The sequence below is a fragment of the Homo sapiens genome, chromosome 3, assembly GCF_000001405.40.
Source record: "Homo sapiens chromosome 3, GRCh38.p14 Primary Assembly".
NCBI classification, from domain to species: domain Eukaryota; kingdom Metazoa; phylum Chordata; class Mammalia; order Primates; family Hominidae; genus Homo; species Homo sapiens.
Genome location: NC_000003.12, coordinates 129956976 through 129979465, shown reverse-complemented (window position 1 = coordinate 129979465; position 22490 = coordinate 129956976). Strand labels below are relative to the sequence as shown.

The 22490-nt window shown below is 50.0% G+C and overlaps 1 protein-coding gene and 1 pseudogene across 1 annotated transcript; one reads left to right on the top strand and one right to left on the bottom strand.

Annotated features, from left to right (window-relative positions):
• Positions 1-10213, top strand: part of LOC124906284 (collagen alpha-1(III) chain-like) — a 34271-nt pseudogene extending 24058 nt beyond the window's left edge.
• TRH (thyrotropin releasing hormone) lies at positions 1531-4746 on the bottom strand. The gene is made up of 3 exons (NM_007117.5): positions 4643-4746; positions 3439-3657; positions 1531-2767 (listed from the first exon to the last, which is right to left on the bottom strand). The coding sequence occupies exons 2-3, from the start codon at positions 3647-3649 to the stop codon at positions 2250-2252; spliced, it is 729 nt and encodes a 242-aa protein (NP_009048.1). The 5' UTR covers positions 3650-3657; positions 4643-4746; the 3' UTR covers positions 1531-2249.
• Positions 10214-22490: the final 12277 nt, after the last annotated feature.

Here is a 22490-nt window from a genome sequence, read left to right as displayed (position 1 = left end):
CAATGAAGTTTGACAGCAGGAGAGGGTGGGATGTATCCCTGGGCTTAATTTCTCCACACTCAGCTGCAACTCAGCTTTCCTCAACTGCAAATTGACATGGCAGCCTGGCCTCCGGGGCAGTCACAAGGAGCCAGTGAGAAAGCGTGTGTGAACACTGAGCACCCAGAGAGCACTCCATGAGCGGCCTCTATTCTCTTTAGAGGGCCTGCCTTCAGAGGCGGTCTATGGTCAGAGGGAATCTTGCCAGGGCCCACTTGCCCTGATGGTGACAGTGAGGTGGTTAAAGGCTTCCAGAAGGCAGCTGAGGGGTGTGGAGAGTCAAGCCCAGGGGGAAGGCCCGATCTACATGCTTGACCTTGGGGCAGGACTCTTGTCTCTGTGTTGGTTCCCTCATCTGAAAAGGAGGAGGTGTTGGTTTCTCATACATCAAATGCTCAGTACGTCAGAGGGCTTTTAAGAGCATTATGGGGAAAATGGTGTGAATGCATCTTGTCAACCCTAGATTTTCCAGTCTCCCCATTCCCCACCCCACCTGAACCATGAGCTCCAAAGGAAGAGGAGCTGGGTCTTGGACGCCCTTCTTGCTCCTGCCTCCCTCTGCCCCAAAAGGTGACCAAAAGCTGTTCGTAGCAAAGTTGAAAAGTCCATCCATCCACCAAACAGAGGATCATCTAACTAACTCAAAGTCTAAGACTAAGGAGATGTGGGGGTTTAGTTTCAGTCAGAGGTTGCAAACTGGCCATGAGTGGGCCAAATTCAACTCAGACAAGTTACTTAACTTTGCTGTACCCTGGCTTCCTCATTAGTAAAATGGGCATATTAATATCTGGAAGCACTGTCAAGGATTAGAATAATTAATATACGGAAAGTGCTGAGGACAGTGTCTGACACATAAAGTGTTGTGTATTTGTGTTATTATTATTAGAGTCACATGACATTTCTTAAAGTTTTTGAATTCAAATGTCTTCACATGACTTCTTCAGTTAACTCTAGTTCACACCACTCCCTCCTGTCCTGCACCGAGCCCCAGAAGACCCCTGGTTTGTGTCTCCTGACTGCAGCCTGGTCCTCTGCCCTCCTTGTTCCTGTTCATTAACAGGCTGTTTGGTGACACAAGCTGTCAACAGAACCATGAAGATTACAGACCTGAGCCAGACTAGTCCTCCCCTCAAACCTCCCCTCTCACCACCACCCCCGCCTCCCAAATCAGGCAAACTCAAGGCAAATCCCTGAGCTGGCCTCTCAGACCCATGGCTCCACCTCAGCCAGCTGTGTGTCTTTGGGCAAGCCCTTCCTTCTCTCCAGGCCTTAGTCTCCCCAGGAGTCAAATGGGCTCCAGAACCCCATCCACCTCCCAAGTGTGTTCTGAAATGGGGACAGTAGAGAGGACTTGTCATCCTCCCAGGGTCCCTGATTCCCTCTGCAGCAGAGCTGAGAACTCTAGTCCCATCCCCTTTTAAATATCCCTCTCAATGCGAAAGAAGAATCCCATGCCAGCTGCGACAGAACAGCAACCACAGAGCTCCGTGATTATCTGGATGCAGGTTTTATTATCATTAGGATGACTGTCATCGACAAGGGATAGGGGCTTAGAGGGTTATATACAAACCACAATTCCTAGGCGATGTTTCAATATTCCCACACACATTTATCCCACAGCCAGACACAGCACAACACCACAGGGTATGCCCCTACATATGCTTCTCCAAGCAGTAACACAGCTGTGGGTCAGGGCTCTGCCCACCCACAAAGGGATGCCCAGAAAGGAGAAGATCCTGGGTCCTGGGGGTGAAGTTTACACATGGAGAATCCTGCCAGGTTGGGGAGGGGATGGAAGCTGGATTTGCACACAACGCTTCAGTCCCACCCCACCCTCACTGGCTGCCCTCCCAGGGGCTCCCTGTCCCACTTGGGGAGTCTTTGCAAGACACAGAAGGACCATCTTAGCCAAGGCTAAGGAAGGAGCAGGCCTGTGGTGGGGGGGGTGAGAGGGGCTCTGGGATCTGCCCCCTTGCCTATGGTGCTAAGTGGAGGAAAGTGGGGTTTAAACTGCTAGGCTGATTTTCTCACATGCCTAAAGGAAGAGGGCAAGGCCAGGGGCTGGGATGTGTGTGAATATGGGGCTGGGAGGGAGGGGCTCAGGCTTATGGTCAGGGATCTAACTAGAGAATACAGAGGTCATGAATGGTGGGGCACACAGGGCTCAAGACATCCTTAGACCACAAACTCGACTTCAGGGAAAACTGGGTTCACTCCTCCAGGGGCTCTCTGACCCAGGCTGCCCGCCGACCAGGGTGCTGCCGCTTTTCCTCAGCTCCCTGGCTCCTACTCAGGTCATCCAGGAGCCCCAGCAGAAGGCCCGCTTGACCATAGGCTCCCTGGGGCCCACAGGGGCCTCCCAGGGCCCTCTTGCCCGGATGCTGGCGTTTTTCAGGCATCAGGTCTTCCTCTCTCTCTTCCTCCTCCTCCTCTTCTTCCCAGCTCCTTTGAGCCTTGGGATCTGCCAGCCTTCTGCCTGGGTGCTGCCGCTTCGGGACAGCATATGCAAGCCAGGGGGAGCGCCGGCCAGGATGCTGCCGCTTGTGCTGGGTTACATCGACTGACCATGAAGCCTCATCTTCTCGTCGGCCAGGGTGCTGCCGTTTGTGGGGTCCCACAGCCCCCCCTTCTTCCTCTTCCTCTTCTTCAACTCCCTCTTCCTCCTCCTCCTCTCTTTTGCCTGGATGCTGACGTTTGGAGAGCCAGTCAGATTGAAAGATCTGGGACGCTGGGGAAGGAAAGAGGTCAGTGAGGGGCCCCTGACCCATGTAATAGGCAGGCGCCTGAGTGCCCACTCCTGCTTTTCTCCCAGGCAGGGTACATTTCCTGCAGCTCCCACTCAGAGGCATGGTCTTGCACCTGCCCCTCAGGCCTCACAGATACACACATTCACACAATAGTCAAAGGCATTGCCTCTGGGTTCCAATCCCAGCTCTGGCGCTCCCTAGTTGTCTGACCATAAGCGACTCAATTGATCTCTGGGAGCCTCAGTTTTCTTCTGTGTAAAATCGTAATAACAGTACCTAACTAAGAGGTTGTTAGGAAGATCAAACAGTGTGATAAGGTGTTTGAAGTGCTTGGAATAGTGTCTGGCACAGAAGTGCCTAGACAGTAGTAATTCAAACTGTCACACACAAAGAAACTCTCTCCCTAGCACACAGAAGCTTCCCCACCCAGGGCCTGCTCTCTGTGAAATATTCCCAGCATTGAGACAGGGGAGGAATCTGACCCCGAGGAATGGTCAACTCCAGATCCCGCCTAGGCGCAGCCAGGGAGGGTTTCTGAGCTTCCGAAAGGCAGAAGGCTAGCTGACCAAGCCTCCCCTCCCCTTTGCCGGCAGGTTTCCACGGCTCTCCCAATAGCCTAGCCCCACAGCCCCCAACAGCCCCATCCACTCACCGGAGTGCTCACCCTGGTCCCCTTGCAGCCGCTGGATGTTTTCCCGGAGGAAGAGGAGGCGCTCCACCTGGCGCAGGAAGTCATCCAGGCCCGGATGCTCCGCGGCCGTCACTGCCTCCTGCTGGGCCGCCTCTGGCTGAGCACGGCCGCCGGGGACACCGGTCAGGTTCAGGGTCAAAGCCAGAGCGAGCAGCAACCAAGGGCCGGGCATCGCGGCGTCTGGGTTAGGGGACAGAGGGAGCCTGAGCGCACCGAATCACAGCACATCCCGCTCCATCTCCCCCGACGCCCGCCAGAAACAAACCACGCACAGTTCAACCGCCCTCCCAGAAGCAGGACCACTGCCCCTCGTGCAGGGGCGGGAGCAGCGGCGGGTTCGCCCCGGCTCTGCGTCCACACCTGTCACCTCTAGGCGTCCTCGCCCCCACGGGTGCCTGTAGTGCCTGCGCCCAGTTCTGCTTGCGCAAGGCAGGAGGCCGTAGGAACCCCATCGCCAGCGCCACCGCCACCCTTCAATGTGACGCGGAACTGGGGAAGCCAACGCTGGGACTGCCTCGCCGGGAGTGCAACCATTGAGATTGCAGCGCCAGGCACAGCCGCGACGCTAACGGTTGCGTCCCCGCCAAGACTCCCCCAAAGGTCCCCATCGCCACGTTCTAACTCCAAGCTCCGTGGCCGACGTCCTCATTCCAACGCGAAGATCCCATTTCTATCGCTAAGATTCAGGTTCTAAAGCTCAAAGTCTATTTGCAAAGCTAAGATTCTATTTCTAATGCTAAGCTTTCATGACTAAGCCAGGAATCTGATTCTAACGCTAAAATCCTAACTTCAACGCTAAAATTCTATTTCTAGCGTTGAGATTGGGATTCGAACTCCCAGGTTCTCAGGCCGACGCCCTGAATACCCAGCTCTGTCCGGCGGCACCCAGGCAGGGGGTGCCGCGGAGCTCCCACCCCGCGCTGCGGACTCTGGCGACCTGAGTGCCCAGCAGCGAGAGCCTCCGATGTGCCCGCGCCGTGCCTCCCGTCGGGTCCCCGGCCTGCGCTCGGGGAGGACCCGGGGGTGCGAGCACAGCGCCCGCCTGTGCACCGGCCCTGTTCTCCAGGAAGCTCTCAGAGAACCGAAGGTGAGGGCGGGCCGAGAGGGCTCCCTTTCCAGTGCTCCCGGACACCGTCTGCGGAAGGAGAGGGGTTGGGGCGGTTACCTGCCAGGAGTGGGCTCCACAGGATGGGTCCGGGATCCGGGGACTCGGGATCCGCAGTCGGCAGGTCAGGAGTCTGCAGCGCTGAGGACCCCGGGCGCCTGCCGAGCCCTCTTCAGATGGGCCGCCGCTTATATCTGCGCCAGGCGGCGGCTCGAGTGAGGTCAGCGGGGAGGGGTCGCGGCCGCCGGGAAGGGGCGCTGACGGCAGCCGGCCCCGCGGGACCCCGCCCGCCTGCTCCTCCGGAAATCTGGGGCGGGGACGGTGGGGACCGGAGCCGGGGCGCGGAGGCACTGGCCGCAGGATGGGGCGCCGGCGCGGGGTCGTTTCTGCACCACCTCTGGAGATCTGTTGACGAGAACACGCGTGTAGGGGGCAAAGGGAGGGACAGAGAGATTGAGAGAAGCGCACGATTAAACACAGGCGCACGAGAGAGCTAGAGGGCGAGACAAAGACCGAGATCCACACGGAGACGACGGAGAAACACAGGGCAGACACACACGAAAGGGACACGGCCGCAGAACCAATGTAGAACGCAGACGGGCGAGAGTAGAGCAAGAGAGAGAGAGAGAGAAAGAGAGAGAGAGAGAGAATGGGGGGCAAGTGGGAGCGGAGCTCTACTTTTTTTTTTTTTTTTTTTAAAGAGATGGGATCTCGCTTTGTCCCCCAGACTGGAGTGCGGTGGCGCGATCACGGCTCACTGCAGCCTTGAACTCCTGGGCTCAAGTCATCCTCCTGCCTCAGACTCCTGCGTCTCTGGGATTACAGGCGTGAGCCACCCCGCAGGCTCCAGGGTGCTAATCTTAACTGTGTCATTCCTGGCTAGTGCCTCCGTTTCTCTGGGCCTCAGTTTTCTCCTCTGTGTAATAGGAGCCAGAGGAAAGCTTTCAGAATTCCAAAAGTGGCGGCCTGTAGGCTACAACCAGTTCATGGACAATTTTGATTGACTTCCACAGTGTTTTGAAAAAAATCTGAATAACCAACATTTTAAAACCAAGATAACTTAGAAAATTTTGGATTTATGGCTTCTCTTGAAAAAGAATGGGCCCCCATTTCCTCCTGTCAACAGCCAGGTGGAGCTGAGCCTGGCTGCTCTCGGCCACCACAGTCTCCACCACTCCCTAATGTCTTCCAATGTGTTGCCCCTGTCACTGAGGAGGGACATTCGAGTCTGCAGCCCCTGCACAGGAATCTATTGGAGTTCACCCAACTCTAGCAAAGGAGGGGAGGGGAAGCAGGGAGGAGAAACACATGGGTGCCAAGGAGCTTGCCCCCCGAGTCAGTTCCCAAAGTCCCAGATGTGGGACTGCCACATCTAGCCCTGGGGACTGCCTCCATCTTGAAACTTTTTTTTTAAAACAGGGTCTCATTCTGTCACCCAGGCTGGAGTGCAGTGGTGCAATCTGACCTCACTGTAGCCTTGACCTCCCCAGTTCAAGGGATCCTCCCACCTCAGCCTCCGAAGTAGCTGGGACTACAGCCAGGCACCATAATTTTTATGGCTATTTTTTATTATTATTTCTTGTAGAGATGGAGTCTTCTTATGCTGCCCAGGCTGGTCTCGAACTCCTAGACTCTAGCAATCCTCCTCCTTGGCCTCCCAAAGTCCTGGGATTACAGGCATGAGCCGCCACACCCGGCCCATCTCTAAACATTTAACAAGCACCCACTATGGTGTCAGACTCCTTGGTAGGTCCTGAAGGCCTAGAAGTGAATGAGGCTCAGCCCCAGCCCTCAAAAAGTTCAGAGGCAGTGAGGGAGACACTGCAAACATGAAACCTCAGGCTTGGTCTCCCAACTAGACTCCAGGATTTGAAGAAATGCCACCCTAGCTAAGATGAAATCAGATAGACCTGTTGTCTTTTGTACACAATGACGAGGGTATAAATTGATCCAATCTTTTGGGTGGCAATCTGAAAATTTAACACATATGTACCTTCCATGAGACAATTCTGTTTTTCAGAATTCATAATACAGATACTCCCACCTATATACATGAGAATGTATACCTCAGGGTATTCAGTGCAGCATGGTTTATACAAGCCAGAATTGGAACCAGCCTGGATGTCTGTCCATCAGGAGGGGGACACTTAAGTCAACTAAGACCCATCTAAAACTGTGGGGTACTATGCAGCCTTTAAAAGAATAAGGCAGTTCCATATGCACTCATGTGGAATAAGCTCCCAGAAGCAGAGTAGAGAACTATGTGTATATGATGCTGCCATTTGTGGAGTGTGAGGAAGATGGGCTGCCAGGCTCTTATGTTCTTTTTGTTTTGTTTTGTTATTGTTTGGAGATGGGGTCTTGCACTGTTGCCCAGGTTGGAGTGCAGCAGCACAATCACTAGCTCACTGCAGCCTCAAACTCCTGGGCTCAAGCAATCCTCTTGCCTCAGCCTCCTAAAGCACTGGGATTACAGGCACGCACCAGTACCACACCAGGCTAGATTTTTGTTTTTGTTTTTGTTTTGTAAAAACAGGGTTTCACTATATTGCCCAGGCTAGTCTCGGACTCCTGGCCTCAAGCAATCCTCCAGCCTTGGCCTCCCAAGTGCTGGGATTACAGACCTGAGCCACCACACATATCCTTCTTATGTTCTTAGACAAGACCCATGAAGAAGGAAACCTAGAAGCCAGGGAAAGAGAGGACAGAGAGGGTTGTGGAGAGGCTTGCTTTTCACTGTCAGCTCTTAGCCCTGTTTGAATTTTCTCTCTGCAGGATTACTGTCCACAAACAAACAAACAGCACCAAAACTCCCAACAATAAGAACAACAGAAATCCCACCTAAGGCACCAAAGGCTTGGTGAGCATGGATGCATGGCAAAACTGCCTCCTGAAGGGTAAGATGGCTGGAACACTGCTCCCTGGTGAGCCCATTAGGTGCCTTTCTATCATCAGGGATTTGAGTGGCCTGTTTGGAGGATAGGTCCTGGTTGGATCGGGAGGAGTCAGGAGAGCTCCCCTGCAGCCCATGGAACCAGAGAGGATGGTAGAGGCCTCTGCGGTGTCCTTAGCAAGCCAACTCCCTCCCTCCCTCCCTCCCTTCCTTCCTTCCCTCCTCCCTCCCTTCCTCCCTTCCATCCTTTCTTCTCTCCCTCACTAAACAAATATTTACTGAGCCCTTCCTAAGTACCAGGACCTGTTCTGGACCTTGGGGATTGTATTTACCATGTGTTTTTTCTGATGCTTTGACATCTGAGGTCTTGCTGACCTTGGAGAGACTTCTAGGGTTAGCCACCTCCCAGAAAGTAAACAACTCTCCTAGGGGCGCCCCTTTCATGTGCAAACCAACCAATCCAGAGCTTTCTCTCCCCACCACCTTCTCTATGGAGTTCTCACACTCAGGGCCACTATCCCCCTCCCTAGTCACCTCAGGGCCACGTACCAGACAACTAGGGGACAGCCCCGATGACCCAGAGCCCATTGAAATTATCCAAACTAGCCAATCGTAAACCTGCTCACACTGTCTCGTCCGTTCCTCCCTGAGGAAGCCAGAAGAAAGGATTTCTCTCCTGTTTTCACCCACTCCCTGTGCCTCCTGACTGACCCCGGTGCTTCCCCCATGGCTCTGCAGATCTTGGTGTGCCCACTCCTCTTGGGAACTGTAAGTAACGAAGATCTGTTGGCCTCGCCATATCTGAATAATAATGACACCTACACTTTAAAGCAGGGGCCCAGCAGGGCAAGAAGTCAGGACCCTGTTCCCTCTCTCACAGAGCTTAGAATCTAGTCAGTGTGTTGCATATATTTTTCTAGCGTGCAATTTTTTTCTCTGATAAGGCAAATGGGCTTGAATCTCAAGACTGTAGTTGCTTATCAGATTAATACAGCTATGCTTTTGAAAATGAATAATGGGATAATTTAATGGTGAGTATGTACACTATTTCTAACTCCCAGTGCCACCCACAATACACACATACACACACACACACTCATACACTCACACATACTCACACACACTCATATACATACATTCACTGTCTCACACACACACACTCACACAGTCTCACGAACTCACACACTGACACACACACTCACACACTCACTCTGACACACGACACTCCTTGTAGGAGGTGTATTGAGTCTCAGGGTAGGTAGGCTCTGATTTCCTAATTCCTGCCTCCGTGAATTCTTTTTCCCTCTCAAAGCCTCTCTGCTCCCTATTCCTATCCATAGATGTCCTGCAGATGGTTAAGAGTCTTTAACAACCCTAAGCTGCAGACAGGCCTAAAGCAGTTTCACTGAGTTTACTTTTGAATTTTGTTTATGGTGGGTTTTTTTAATTTAAACTTTTTTTTTTTTTAAGAGACAGCCTCGCTCTGCCACCCAGGCTGGTGTGCAGTGGCGCAATCTCGGCTCATTGCAACCTCCGCCTCCTGGGTTCAAGCGATTATCCTGCCTCAGCCTCCCAACTAGCTAGAATTACAGGCGTGTAATTTTACCACCATGCGCAGCTAATTTTTTTTTGTATTTTTAGTAAAGACAGGGTTTCACTATATTGGCCAGGCTGGGCTTAAACTCCTGACCTCAGGTGACCCGCCGGCCTTAGCCTCCCGAAGTGCTGGGATTATAGGCGTGAGCCACTGCGCCTGGCCTAATTTAAACTTTTAATTTTGAGACCATTGTAGATTTGCATGCAGTGGTAAGAAATAACACCAAGAGATCATGGGTACAGTTCACCCAGCTCCTCCTAATGGTACAATGTCACAACCTGCACAGTGACATTGACAGAAGCCACTGATCTTACTCAGGTTCCCTCAGTTTTACTTTTGTGTGTGTGTGTGTGTGTGTGTGTGTGTATAGTTAGTTCTATGTAACTTTATCACGTGTAGTTTTGTGTATAGCCTGTATGGTGGCTTTTTAATTATAGTTATGTAGTTATTGTTATATATTCAATTCTTTCCTTTATATTCTGCTTTTGTTGTCAAAATAATGAAGATCTTCTCTTCCCCAGGATCACAAAAATTATCTCAGGAATTCCAGGAAGAAGAGTCCATTTATTGACTCTTTCTGCCTTTTATCCATAGAAATTCCATGTGGAAATCTCTCTAATCCAGATTCCCCCTTACCTTTTCCACTGGAGATTTTTTACCAAATTGAACAATAACTGTTGGTGCTAAATCCACCAGAAATACTTTTCAGTTCTCATTTCATTCACTGATTTCTTTATTCAACAAATATTTCCAGTGTGTGCTTAGGTCTCCGGCATGGTTCTAGGCCTGGGCACGCAGTACGGCAGAGGGAGATGCAAGAGAAAGATGGATGGGATCAGACCTCATGGGAACCTTGCTGGCTGTGCAGAATAAGAAGTTTGGATTTTATTCTCAAGGCAATGGGAAACTAGAAGATTTAAAGGAGGGGAGAGATCCAATCTGATTTCTTTTTTTTTTTTTTTCTGAGATGGGGTCTTGCTCTATTGCCCAGGTTGCAGCCTCAACCTCCTGGGCTCAAGTGATTCTCCCACCTCAGCCTCCCAAGTACCTGGGACCACAGGTGTGCACCACCAAGCCCGGCTAATTAGTTTTTATTTTTGTAGAGACAAAAATAAACTGTGTTGCTCAGGCCAGTCTCAAACTCCTGAGCTTAAGTGATCCTTCTGCCTCGACTTCCCAAAGTGTTGGGATTACAGGTATGAGCCCCCATGCCCAACCTTGATTTATTCTTTCAGATCATCCATCTGGTTGCCTGGTGAATTATAAGTGTACAGTTGCTCCTTTGTGATACTCTCCTGCCTTAGTTTACCCCCTATTCTATTCACTCTCTCCTCTCAGGTTCTGTCTCTCTCTGCTCAGCCAACTTCTGAATTATATGTGCTCCACTGGGCTCAGCTTGTGTCTACTGTCACCCCATACACTTTACCAGGCCTTCTTGCCCACCTCACTGAGCCTGGTCACATGCTAGTACCTCACAAATCAGCTTAGCCAGAGAAAACTACACAGTCATCAGAATACAGAGACCCCTCCCTGAGGTAATCCCCCTTGCCACCTGCAAGTGAGAGAAACTCACCCCAAATTGGCTTAAGCAAAATAAAAGGAGCATGTATTGGTCCATATAACCACAAATATAAAGACTTGAACTAGCTTCAAGCATGGCAGAATCCAGGGGCCCGACTGGTGTTACTATAGGAATCTGTCTCTTTTCTCCACTTGTGATCTCTACTTTCCTCTAGATGGCTTCATTCTCAGGCTTACTGTCCTCAAAGATGGAGAAGTGGTCATAGGCAACCCCAGGATCCCATTTTCCCAGCTGAGTTACCCTGAGAATAAAAGAGTCCTTTCCCAAAAGTCCAGTTCTCATTGTCCCAGCTGAGGTCACATACTCATTACTAAACCAATCATCATGATTCAGATTAGCCAAGCCTGGGGCTGGAGGTTGGAGTCAGCCCCATCTGAGCATGGACTGAGAGGGTTCTCCAAAGCCATACTGGGGTGCACCTTCCAGAAAAGGACGAGTTGAATGCTGAGCAGGTAAAACAACACAGGTCCCCTACAGCCTCATTGCAGGAATGAAGAAACCAAGGCTCCGAGGGGGAGAAAGGCTGCCTGAGTCCCTTAGCGAATTAGCAACAACCTAAGTCCGGTGCTCTACCCTGTGTCTTTCCTTCACACCAGCCAGGTCAGGGTTTGCTCTAAAGGACCTGGAAGTGACCGAACTCCAGTTGCCAGGCTGGGCTCTATCTTCCACTCCACATCCCACCCCCACCCCCTGGATCTCGTTCTGGTCTCATTGGCAGTAAATCACCATTAAGAGAGTATTGTCTTCTGGAGACTTTGGGGAGCTCCATTTCCAAAGCGCCTAATAAATGACTCACTAACAGAGTGATTTCCGACGCTGTGATGGGAAAGGAGTGCTATTTGGATGCCAGGAGGACTCTTGGCAGCTGACCACTCTGACTCCACTTAGACCACCCTTGGTCACTGCCCAGCTGCTGACACAGAACTATCTCAGTCCTTTTCCTCCAGTGCCCTTCAATCCCATATGCATTTATTGATCACCTTCTCCATGTAGGGAATGTGACGGGTGCCAGGGGATGGAGGGGAATGAACCTGTATGGTTCCCTGCTGCTGTTAAGACTGAGTCCATATAGCATACCCTGGCATTCAAGACACTTCATAATTGGGGCACAATCAGGCTCTTCTCCTGCCAATTCTCCCCTCCCTCCATATTCAGGTCTTCTCCACATCAACCAGTGAAACCCATTTGACAAACATGTTGTGCAATTTTACACCTCCATGGTTTTGCCCCTCTCTTTACCTCTGACACCTGCAGGCCAGTTACTTATTCTTCAGAGCCTGCTGCAAATGTCCTTCACTCTTGAGTTTTAGGGACAACAAGAGGATTCGGAGAGAAACACTCTTCTGAAGGTGTTAACAGTCTGGCAGGGGAGACATATGTGTCCACATAAATTACATTATAGCCATGTGCTTAAAGGCCATGAGGAGGGATCACAGATCCAGCCTGAGGGGCCAGGGATGGCTTGTTGGGTGAGTCTTGCAGTGAACTTGGACAAAGGAGCATGCCAGCAAGCCTTCTATGACCTCTTTTGCTGAAATAAATACCCATCACACTCTCTTCCTTCCCAGCCTTTATCACTGGGTGTGATTGGATATTTATTTATTTCCTTTTGCTTTTGCTTATTTTCTGCCTTTCCCACCAGAGCGTCAGCTCTATGAGGACAAAGACTTGGTCTGTCTGTTCCCTGCGGTTTGCCATCTCCTGGCACACAGCTGACACTCATTAAAGATTTGTCAAATGAATGAATGCATGCATGAATGAACTCAGCCTGGAGTGAGTGAGCATAAGCTGCCCAGGCCTGTCTTTTGTGCTGAGAGGGGTACAAGGGCAGCCCCACTTCATGATCTCTGGACAGACACCAGAAAAACGACATATTTGTGTGAGAGAGAAACAACGTGGGGAGCAGACTGGGAGGTGCACAAGGAGACCTGAAGGCCAGAGCAATCAGAGAGGGCTTCTTGAAGGTGGTTGTGGGGGAGTGGGGCTGCAAAAACCAGGCCCTGAAGGATGAGGACAGTTAGGACAAGAGGATGAGGCCAAGTTGTTCGAGTACCTTCCTGAGCAGAGGTGCCTCATCCCTACCTCCGCAGAGCAGCATGGTCCAGTGATGCATAATGTCCAAGGACTGTTGAGGTAGCTTATCACTGTGAGACACTGGGCAGAGTTGGCCCCGTCTGGGCTCAGGGCCCGAGACAGGCTCCCAAACCGAGTCCTGGCCGACAAGTAGAAGCCATGAGCCCCTACCAACGCAGCCCCTGTGCCCCTTATGAGGTCTTACATTCATGTTGAGCAGCCAATTGCAGGTCTATATGAGCCAGGTTTTTTCCAAGGAACAATTTTCTGCCCAGCTGGAGCTTGCTAAGTGGAGCTCATGCTCAGGAAGGGCACTGGGGGCTGTGGGGCTGGCGTGGAGCTGGATGCACAGGAGCGACTTCTGGGAGCATTGTCTGAGGCCTTTAGCTGACACAGAGCATGTACACATCTGTGTGGGTGCCTGTGATTGTGTACGTGTATTTGCACCTTCACATGATGTACCTGTGTGCATGTGTATACACGTGCAGGTCCATGTCTGTATGGTGTGCACATGTACATGTGTCTAGTGTGTGTACATGCATATGTATGTGTATGCACATGCATGGGTCCATGTCTATAAGGAGCACACATGTGCTTGCACACCTATGCTTTGTGTGTGCATGTGCATATGTGTATATGCATGTGTATGGGTTCATGTTTGTTGCACACATGTGCATGTGTGTTTGTGCCTAAGTATACAGGTCATTGCATACATGTGGGCAGATGTATCCATTGCTTAGTTTAAGGCAGGGTTTAGAGGCTGGAGTAGGGTCCAGTTGGTTACTGGTGACCTCATCTGATGAGAGAACATAGCTCTAGATCAAATGTTCTATCCATGAATAGGACAACCTCACTGTTCCCTTCAAAACTACCTGTCAGCACTTCCCTTCTTCATTTTCTGCTAGCTAATCTGGTAAATTAACATGTGTTCACAGAACAGAGGGAATTTCCTGGAAGGCAGGGTCTGTGTTCATCTCCCACAGAGCATAGAGCACAGTGGATGCTGAGGAAATGGTGAATGCTGGAAAGGAGCAACAGGTAAGGTTTGGGAAAACGGGCCCAACACCTGGGTGGCCTGAACACGTTTTCTCATTTAATTCACACAGCCCTGTGAAGTCAGAATTACTCTCCCTGTTTAAAGAAATCAAGGCTTAGAAAGAGCAGCCGGGCGAGGTGGCTCACGCCTGTAATCCCAGCACTCTGGGAGGCCGAGGCGGGCGGATCATCTGAGGTCAGGAGTTCGAGACCAGCCTGGCCAACATGGCAAAACCCCGTCTCTAGTAAAAATACAAAAATTAGCTGGGTGTGGTGGCGTGCACCTGTAATCCCAGCTACTCAGGAGGCTGAGGCAGGAGAATTGCTTGAGCCTGGGAGGCGGAGGTTGCAGTGAGCCGAGGTTGTGCCATTGCATTCCAGCCTGAGCAACAGAGTGAGACTCTGTCTCACAAAAAAAAAAAAAAAAAAAAAAAAAAGGGAATGACTTGTTCAAATTCACAAAGCCAGGAAATAGAGGCGCTCAAATTTGAACTCAAATCTATGTTACAGCAAAGCTTGTCCCACTCTACCCCACTAGATGAAAATAGCTAATGCGTTAGGATGGTGATGAATGTGGGGAATTTTATTTTCCTTTTACAAAATTCTCTTTGGTTAAATCTTCTTCTCACTAAATTATAGAAACTTTTTATTAGAAAGTATTTTGAAGGAATAAATACCCAAAGCCATCCTTTAACCCAGAATCTGATGTCTCAAATGCCCAAGATGGAGAAGGAGTGAGACTCTGACTGTAGAAATATGTATCATGAAGCTTGTCTTTAGATCATCTCGAAAGAATATACGCTAATTCTGATGAGGACGGAAATGGTTTGGTGGACCAGGGTGGTAGTAGGGGTGGGAGTGGGCAATAAATGTCTTGCCGCCAGGAAGCCGACAGATGCGGCGGATCGGACACCTCATCATCCATCAGGCCCGCCAGAGATAACAAGCCCCCACCCCTGCCATCGCTTCTCTTATTACGGGAGAAAAATGAAAACCGACTTCAAATTACGTTGGCAATTTAGGTATATTTATTTTGCTGTCAGCCACAGGCAGGCTCTATCCCAGTGTTCTGGGCTAATTAAGAGCTTGTCCTCAGAATACCTGGAGCCTGCACCCTGAATATTGCAAATGGGGGAGCAAGTATTAATATGCCAGTAACACTGGTCTTGAGTCAGGGTGACAACAGATGGAGGAGGAGGGGCCCAGCGGGTGCTGACGGAGACCTTCGATATGGCCCAACAAGAGGCCTGCATCCCTCTATCTAAGGGTTCTCTTCCACTGCCCCCTGAGAACCCACGTGTGCATCTGGAGTGGACACTGTGGTGCTCTGGTCACCTGTGTTCACCTTTGACTTCCAGGAAGCAGAAGGACAGCTCTTTCCTTCTTTGCCTTTTCCTTCCTCGCATTACATGTAGCCTTGGTAGGATACCCGCCATGCTGTCCAACCTCTCAGGGCCAAGCAGTGGTCCTGTGGCTCCCACTGTTTCCTGGGACCTAGACTCTCCAGCAGAGAGATGGCAGATTTGCTGCAGGGACATTTGCAGCACAGCAGCAGCTGCACAGGAACAAGACGGTTGAGAAGTCCTTGCTGCCCAGCTGGACCCTGCAGGGGCCTCCTTTTGCTCTCAAGCCTGACCTTTTGGTCTTCCTGATGAGCAACAAATCCCCCTTTTCAGCTAAGCTCGCTGGAGTTGGGTTCTGTTGTCACCAATCCTGACTGATAAGGCCTCCTCCTCTGTACTGGGGCCTCAGGGGAGTCATGGACTCAAATCCTGGCTGTGATTTCAGGAAAGAGAGATTGAGACGGGGAAGAGGTTGGAAGAAGGATCTGAGGACGGGGAAGGGCAAGGGGATACAATTGGGTCAAATGAACATCAAGGACGATAAGAAAAAAAAGAGTCCCACTTAGAGGCCCAAAGATGAAAGAAATGCTCTCCACATGATCACAAATAATTCTCACAAGAAATGTGAAAGTCTTATTCCCATTTGTATAGGTAACTATTATTTTTGTCTGTTCAGCCTCCAGGCCCCTTCCTTCTTATAACAGGACCCCGGGTTTCCAAGGGGTCCTTACCTTCCCCTGCTCTCTAGCCTGTTGGTTTATGTGGAGTTAGCACCACCCTGGGATCCTTGTGCCCCAGGCCTAGCCAATCAGAGTGTGAATCTCCCATCTACAGGGACTGGTTCAAGGACAGATGTATGGCCAAGCCAGGCCAATGAAACTCAAACTTGAGATTTTTGCTGAAACGGTGTGGGAAGAGGTGTTCTTTCATGCTTGGGGTGTAGGGGTACAAGCCAAGCACTACTGGGCACTATTTCTGCTACCTCATGGAAAGATTCTGCTTACGAATGATGCCACCACAAAGTTAATTGAACCAGAAAGTGTAACTGGCTTTCCATGACACTGTTTGAACATATCACTGGACTCTTCAGTTACAGAAGCTGATACATTACTTTTTTGTTCTACTCAGTTTGAGCTACCCCTTCTGTCACTTGCAACCTAATGACTAACAGATGAAACTCAAAGATGTGAAGGGATCCCATGGCTGGGCCATGGCTTATTCCATGCCAGGGCAGGAAAAGGGAGCCACATTCCCTGGCCTTAGCCTCTGCCTCAAACTCTGAAGGCCTGTGCTTGAGTACCAGCTCTGCTACTGATTCACTGCAGGCCTTAGGTACATCACTTAACATCTCTAGGGCTCAGTTTTCTCTTCTGTAAAATGAGGATGATAATAATATTTACATACTGGTAATAATAACCTAAAATTTTCAGCAAACACTAATTGGTTACTACATTCTGGTCCTTATGCAAAGTGTTTTACATGTATTATTACATTAAATCTTCATAAAATTGAATGATGTGAGTATTGCAGTTAATCCCATTTTACAGATGAGAAAGCTGAGACCCAGAAGGTTGGGCAACTTGCCCGAGGTCATCAGGTGGAAGACCAAGTCTTTGACTCTAAATCACCATGTTATACACTCTCTCAGATGTTGAAAGTACAGCTGGCAGGGAAGGGGCAGGGTTCAGGGAGCTTTGTCCTGCCTGCTGGCTCACCAAGGCCCAGCTACTTTAAAAAATAATAATAATGGCCGGGAACGGTGGCTCAAGCCTGTAATCCCAGCACTTTGGGAGGCTGAGGCGGGCGGATCTTGAGGTCAGGAGTTTGAGACCAGCCTGGCCAATATGGTGAAACCCTGTCTCTACTAAAAATACAAAAATAGCCGGGCGTGGTGGCAGGCGCCTGTAATCCCAGCTACTCGGGAGGCTGAGGCAGAATTGCTTGAACCCGGGAGGCAGAGGTTGCATTGAGCCAGAGATTGTGCCATTGCACTCCAGCCTGAGTGACAGAGTGAGACTCCGACTCAAAAAATAATAATAATAATAATAATAAATAATAATAATAATAAACCTATTCTGCACCTTACAGAAGGAGCTCCAGTTCTCCCTGAGAAGTGTCCCCATTGGGGAAGTGACCCAAAGTCTCATGTGTCTCTGGGAGATAAATCAAGATCAAGGCTAGGGCCTTGGGACTCAGCCTAGCCCTGTGAACAATATCTCACCTGGACTTTCAAAAGATGGGTAATTTCTCTGGTCTCATTCATATGTGGTCATCAAGGGGAGGCCAAAACACTTTTAAGGATAATACGCTTTAGGTGACTGAGTGGAAGAGTGAGTAGGGAGTGAATAAATGCATGAGTAAATCTATGAATGAGTGAGTGAGTGAGACAGAAGTGAACTGGTTTCCTGCCCCAAGGAGCTCATAGGGAAGCTGCGAGACAAGAAAAACAAACAAACAGACAAACAAAAAACAGCAGAAACAATTAAAGAGCAATTATGTGTCAAGACACATAGCACTGATCATGTGCTATGGGGGAAGCAGTCTCCACGGACAGGAGATGCCCAGTCAAGCCTGAACTATGAGGTGAGGCTAATCAGGAGCCTGGAAGGTGATTAATATTGGAAAGGCCAGCGAAGAGCAGGTAGGGCACTCAGCCAGGAGCACTATGGGCAGGTAGAGGTGTGGGGCTGGCTGAGGGTAAAAGACTCCCTTTTTTTCCTGCAGACCCACCCAGCCCTCACCATTTCTAATACCTTCATCGGCACTTGGCCAAGAGTTACCTGTGGATGTAGATCTAGGTCATGGATACTGTGGGGAGAAATCAGAAGACAGGGCTGTTCTTAGCTCTGGCTCATAGCTAGGGCAGAGAGGTGGGGCAGGAGCCATCTGTCACAAGCATCCTGGGTCTAGACATGCCAAAGGTTGAGGCTGGATGCATCAGCAGGGCTACTCTGAGAGCCCGGCTGGCTACAGCCAGTGGATTTTCTTTTAGTGGTTTTGCAGCCAGGGGGCAATTCAGGATCGTCATGACTGATGCTCAGGCAAGCAAGGGCTTCTGAGGAGGAGCCCAGCACTTGATGGCCCTCCCCATAAACCTGCTCTCAAGCCCTCCTCCTCCACAATCTAGGCCCGGCCAATTGCAATTACAGCCAATGTTGCACAACGCAGAGAGGAATGTGGTCATGACAAAGTTCTGATGAAGGAAAAGCTTGATCGTATCAGGGATTCAGCATGAAGCAGGGACAGGACACTTGGGCACTGTCTGCTCTTGGGGGACAGGCGTGGGCCGGATGTCACACGGCAGTGCTGAGGATGTACCTTACACAGCAGGCATCCCATGATTGATGAGCCACTCAAGCCCAATAGGTAGGGAAATTAAAAGAAATTTAAAAAGGGAAATTAAAAGAAATTAAAAAAAGAAAGCTTAATAAATTCTGGCTGGAGCCATGCAGACAGATCAGCCCTCCACACCCTATTACTGAGAGCTATTTTTTAATGGGTATCCAGAGAAGTCACAGATAGATTCACTGCAGCTGTTGGGATGATGGGAGCTTGGGCTTCGATTGCTCAACAAATTTGTGATACTTTCACCTGGGCTTGGTGTAGAACGCTGAGTGTTGAGCTGTCCTTGCCAGGTCACAGCCACCAGGCTGGTTCATGCTGGAGACAGAGCCCAGGAGGCTGGTGGGGGTGGAGAAGATGTCACTCATTTGGCATCGCAGCTCCTAATACAGGGACTCTGACACATACAAGGGTGCACAGACACAAGACACACAGGACACATAACAAGGATACACATGGACACACAAAGTTACAGATACCAAGAGAAACACCTTTAGAGACACATATGGGGACCCAGACACACATAGGACTTATACAAGGAGACAGTGACACACACACAGACCCACAGGGACACACAATAGACACACACAGTCATTCATACAAAAAGAAACACACAGGGACACGAAGAGAACCCCAGATATGCCCAAATGTACAAAGACACAGCCTCACAGGCACAAGCACAACACACACACACACACACACCCCTCAGGAGAGACTCCAAGCGAAGACAAAGAACCCCTTTGCTGGAACAGGTAGGCACTGTGTGACCTCAGACAAGACTTCAGTCTAACCTCTAAGCTTCAGTGGCCTCATCTAAGAAGTGAGAATCAAGGCCAGTCACAGGGGCTCACACCTGTTATTCCAGCACTTTGAGAGGCTGAGGCAGGAGAATGGCTTGAGCCCAGGAATTTGAGACCAGCCTGGGCACATAGTGAGACCCCATCTCTATACAAAAATGCTTAAAAATTAGCTGGGCATAGTGGCACGTGCCTAAAGTCCCAACTACTCCAGGAGGCTGAGGAAGGAGGATCACTTGAGCCCTGGAGGTCAAGGCTGTAGTGAGCTGTGATTAACCTACTGCACTCCAGCCTGGATGACAGAGCAAGACCCTGTCTCAAAATAAAAAAGCCAGACGTGGTGGCTCACACCGGTAATCCCAGCACTTTGGGAGGCTGAGGTGAGAGGATTGCTTGAATCCAGAAGTTTGAGGCCAGCCTGGACAACATGGTGACACCTTGTCTCTACAAAAAATTAGCTGGGCATGGTGGCATGTGCCTGTTACTCCCAGCTTCCTGGGACGCTGACGAGTGAGGATCACCTGAGCCTGGGCGGTCAAGGCGGCAGTGAGCCATGATCATGCCACTGTACTCCAACTTGGGTGACAGAGTGAGACCCTGTCCAAAAAAGAAAAGGAAAAAAGAAAGAAAGAAAAAAAAAGGAACAGAAAAGAAAAGGGAAGAAGCCAGCCCGGTGGCTCACGCCTTTAATCCCAGCATTTTAGGAGGCTGAGGTGGGAGGGTTGCTTGAGCCTGGGGGTTCAAGACCAGCCTGGGCAGCATACTGAGACCTGTCTCTACGAAAATTTAAAACTTTTTTTGAGATGGAGTCTTGCTCTGTTGCCCAGGCTGGAGTGCAGTAGTGCGATCTCAGCTCACTGCAAGCTCTGCCTCCCGGGTTCACGCCATTCTCCTGCGTCAGCCTCCCGAGTAGCTGGGACTACAGGCGCCCACTACCATGCCAGGCTAATTATTCTTTTTGTATTTTTAGTAGAGACAGGGTTTCACTGTGTTAGCCAGGATGGTCTCGATCTCCTGACCTCGTGATCCACCTGCCTCAGCCTCCCAAAGTGCAAGGATTACAGGCGTGAGCCATCGTGCCTGGCCCTAAAACTTTTTAATTAAAAAAAAAAAAAAGAGGAAGAAATGGGAATCATGATCCCCACCATGTGGGCTGCTGTGAGGGCTGAATGGGACAATGACATCAAGTGCCAAGTGAAGGGTTTCACAGGCAGGGAACCCAACGCCTGTTGGTTCTCTAAAACCAAAAAGAGAAGGAAGTTCATTAACAACATAATGGACTATATTTTACAAATAAGAATGTCTAGCGGTCCAAAAGGGACTATCCCAGAACAAGAAGTCGCTTGTTGCATCACAGCCCATGAAGCAAAGGTCAAGCCCAAATCAGGGCCGCACCTACACTCACTGATCCCACCCCACAGTGCTCTGTCTGGAGGCCCAGCACTCATGGTCTTTTGCGGTCAGGCCCTTCAACCCCATCCTACCTCATATCCACTGCTCCTCTTCCACCTCAGTTCCAATCCTACAGTTTCCTCACTCCCTCAGACGTGCCACGTTGTTCCTGCCACCAGCACCTTTGGACGCATGTCCCTCCCATCTGGGGCGCCTACCTTCTCCATCTGCCTCTCCAAGTCATATCCCTCCTTCCCCAGCTTGACTCCCACTTGTCTAGGAAGCCTGTTCTAATGCCAGTGAACTTTTTCTGTCCTCCTCTACAAAGTCGTGACTTTTCCTTCCTCCACACCTGAGGCTCAGAGAGGTGAGGTGATTTTCTCAGGGTCACACGTCTCAAAAGCAATAGAGCTGGGATTCAAACTCAGGTCTATCTGACTCCACAGTCCAGTCTCCTCTCCCTCTTTCTTTCTTTCTTCTTTCTTTCTTTCATTCTTTCTTTCTCTTTTTATTTCTTTCTTCTCTCTCTTTCTTTTCAGATAGGGTCTCACTCTGTCACCCAGGCTAGAGTGCAGTGGTACAATTATAGCTCACTATAACCTCAAACTCCTGGGCTCAAGTGATCTTCTTGCTTCAGCCTCCCGAGTAGCTGGGACTACAGGTACACATCACCACACTTGGCTAATTTTTTTATTTTTTGCAGAGACAGGTCTTGCTGTGTTGCCCAGGCTGGTCTCAAACTCCTGTCCTCAAGTGATCCTCCTGCCTCAGCCTCCCAAAGTGCTGGGATTACCGGTGTAAGCCACCACGCCAGTCCAAAGCAGTCTCTTTCTATTACATTTTCTAAGATGCTAGAATTTAGGAGTTACATTTCATGCACATTTAAGTTGTATCCATATTTTATTATTATAAGCAATGCTGTAATGAACATCTTCACAGTTTAGTTTATGTTATTAGCATGAATTCCTAGGAGTGGAATTAAGGGTCAAGGTGGAATTAAGGGTCTGAGCATTCATTCAGTCAACAGATATTTCTCATCACTGCCACTGCTGCCAGTCTGGTCCATCCTCACTCACCTGGATGTCTATGGGGGCCTCTTAAGTAGACATACTTCTTCCTCACCTCCTCCTGTGGTATATTGAAAATTAGTCCCAATTCTTCACCTCTTCCTGCAGCCACACCTCTGCCAATGGGATGGATAGATTTCCGTCTCCCTTAACCTTGGCCTTGGCTATTGAATGGCACTGGTCAACAGGATGGAGCATAAGTGGGCCCCCACCTGGGATTTAAGAGCATTTTCACTCGCCCTCTTGTGCTTCTGCCATGGCCACTGGAACATGCCTTGGCTCACCCGCTGCTGCTGGGAGGAGAATCAGATACAGTTGGAGCAGAGCCACTCCAACTTGTCTGCAGGCCTATGAGATGAGATGATCATTGTTTGAAACCACTGGGTTTTGGGGTGGCTTGTTATGTGGCATTATTGTGAAATAGCTGACAGATATGCCCCCCACCTCCAATCTATTCTCCACACACCACAATTATCTCTTTAATATTTTTTAAATAATTTGTGCTTTATGTGCTGTAGAACTTTGCCACTCCATGCCCAAGGACCCTAGGAGCAAGCTGATGAGATACAGGAAGCAGAGGTGGCTGATCAGGCCACAGTACACTCAGATCTCTTCCACATTCATGAGGGTTGACTGAGGCCAAGGTTGCTCACAGAGGAGGTGGAAGAAGCCTGCAACCCTCCCTGGAAGGAGAAAGGGAAGGCCAGTCCCCAACATTTACCAGGGCCTGTTTCATCCTCTCAGGGCCTGTTTCAACCATGGTTCTAACTATCCCCATTCCACCCAC

Excerpts from the sequence above, each read along its gene's own strand:
- TRH (NM_007117.5), bottom strand. The coding sequence starts at position 3,649 with ATGCCCGGCCCTTGGTTGCTGCTCGCTCTGGCTTTGACCCTGAACCTG. Across the intron at positions 2,768-3,438 it reads GGACCAGGGTGAGCACTCCG|CGTCCCAGATCTTTCAATCT; the intron begins GTGAGTGGATGG and ends TTCCTTCCCCAG.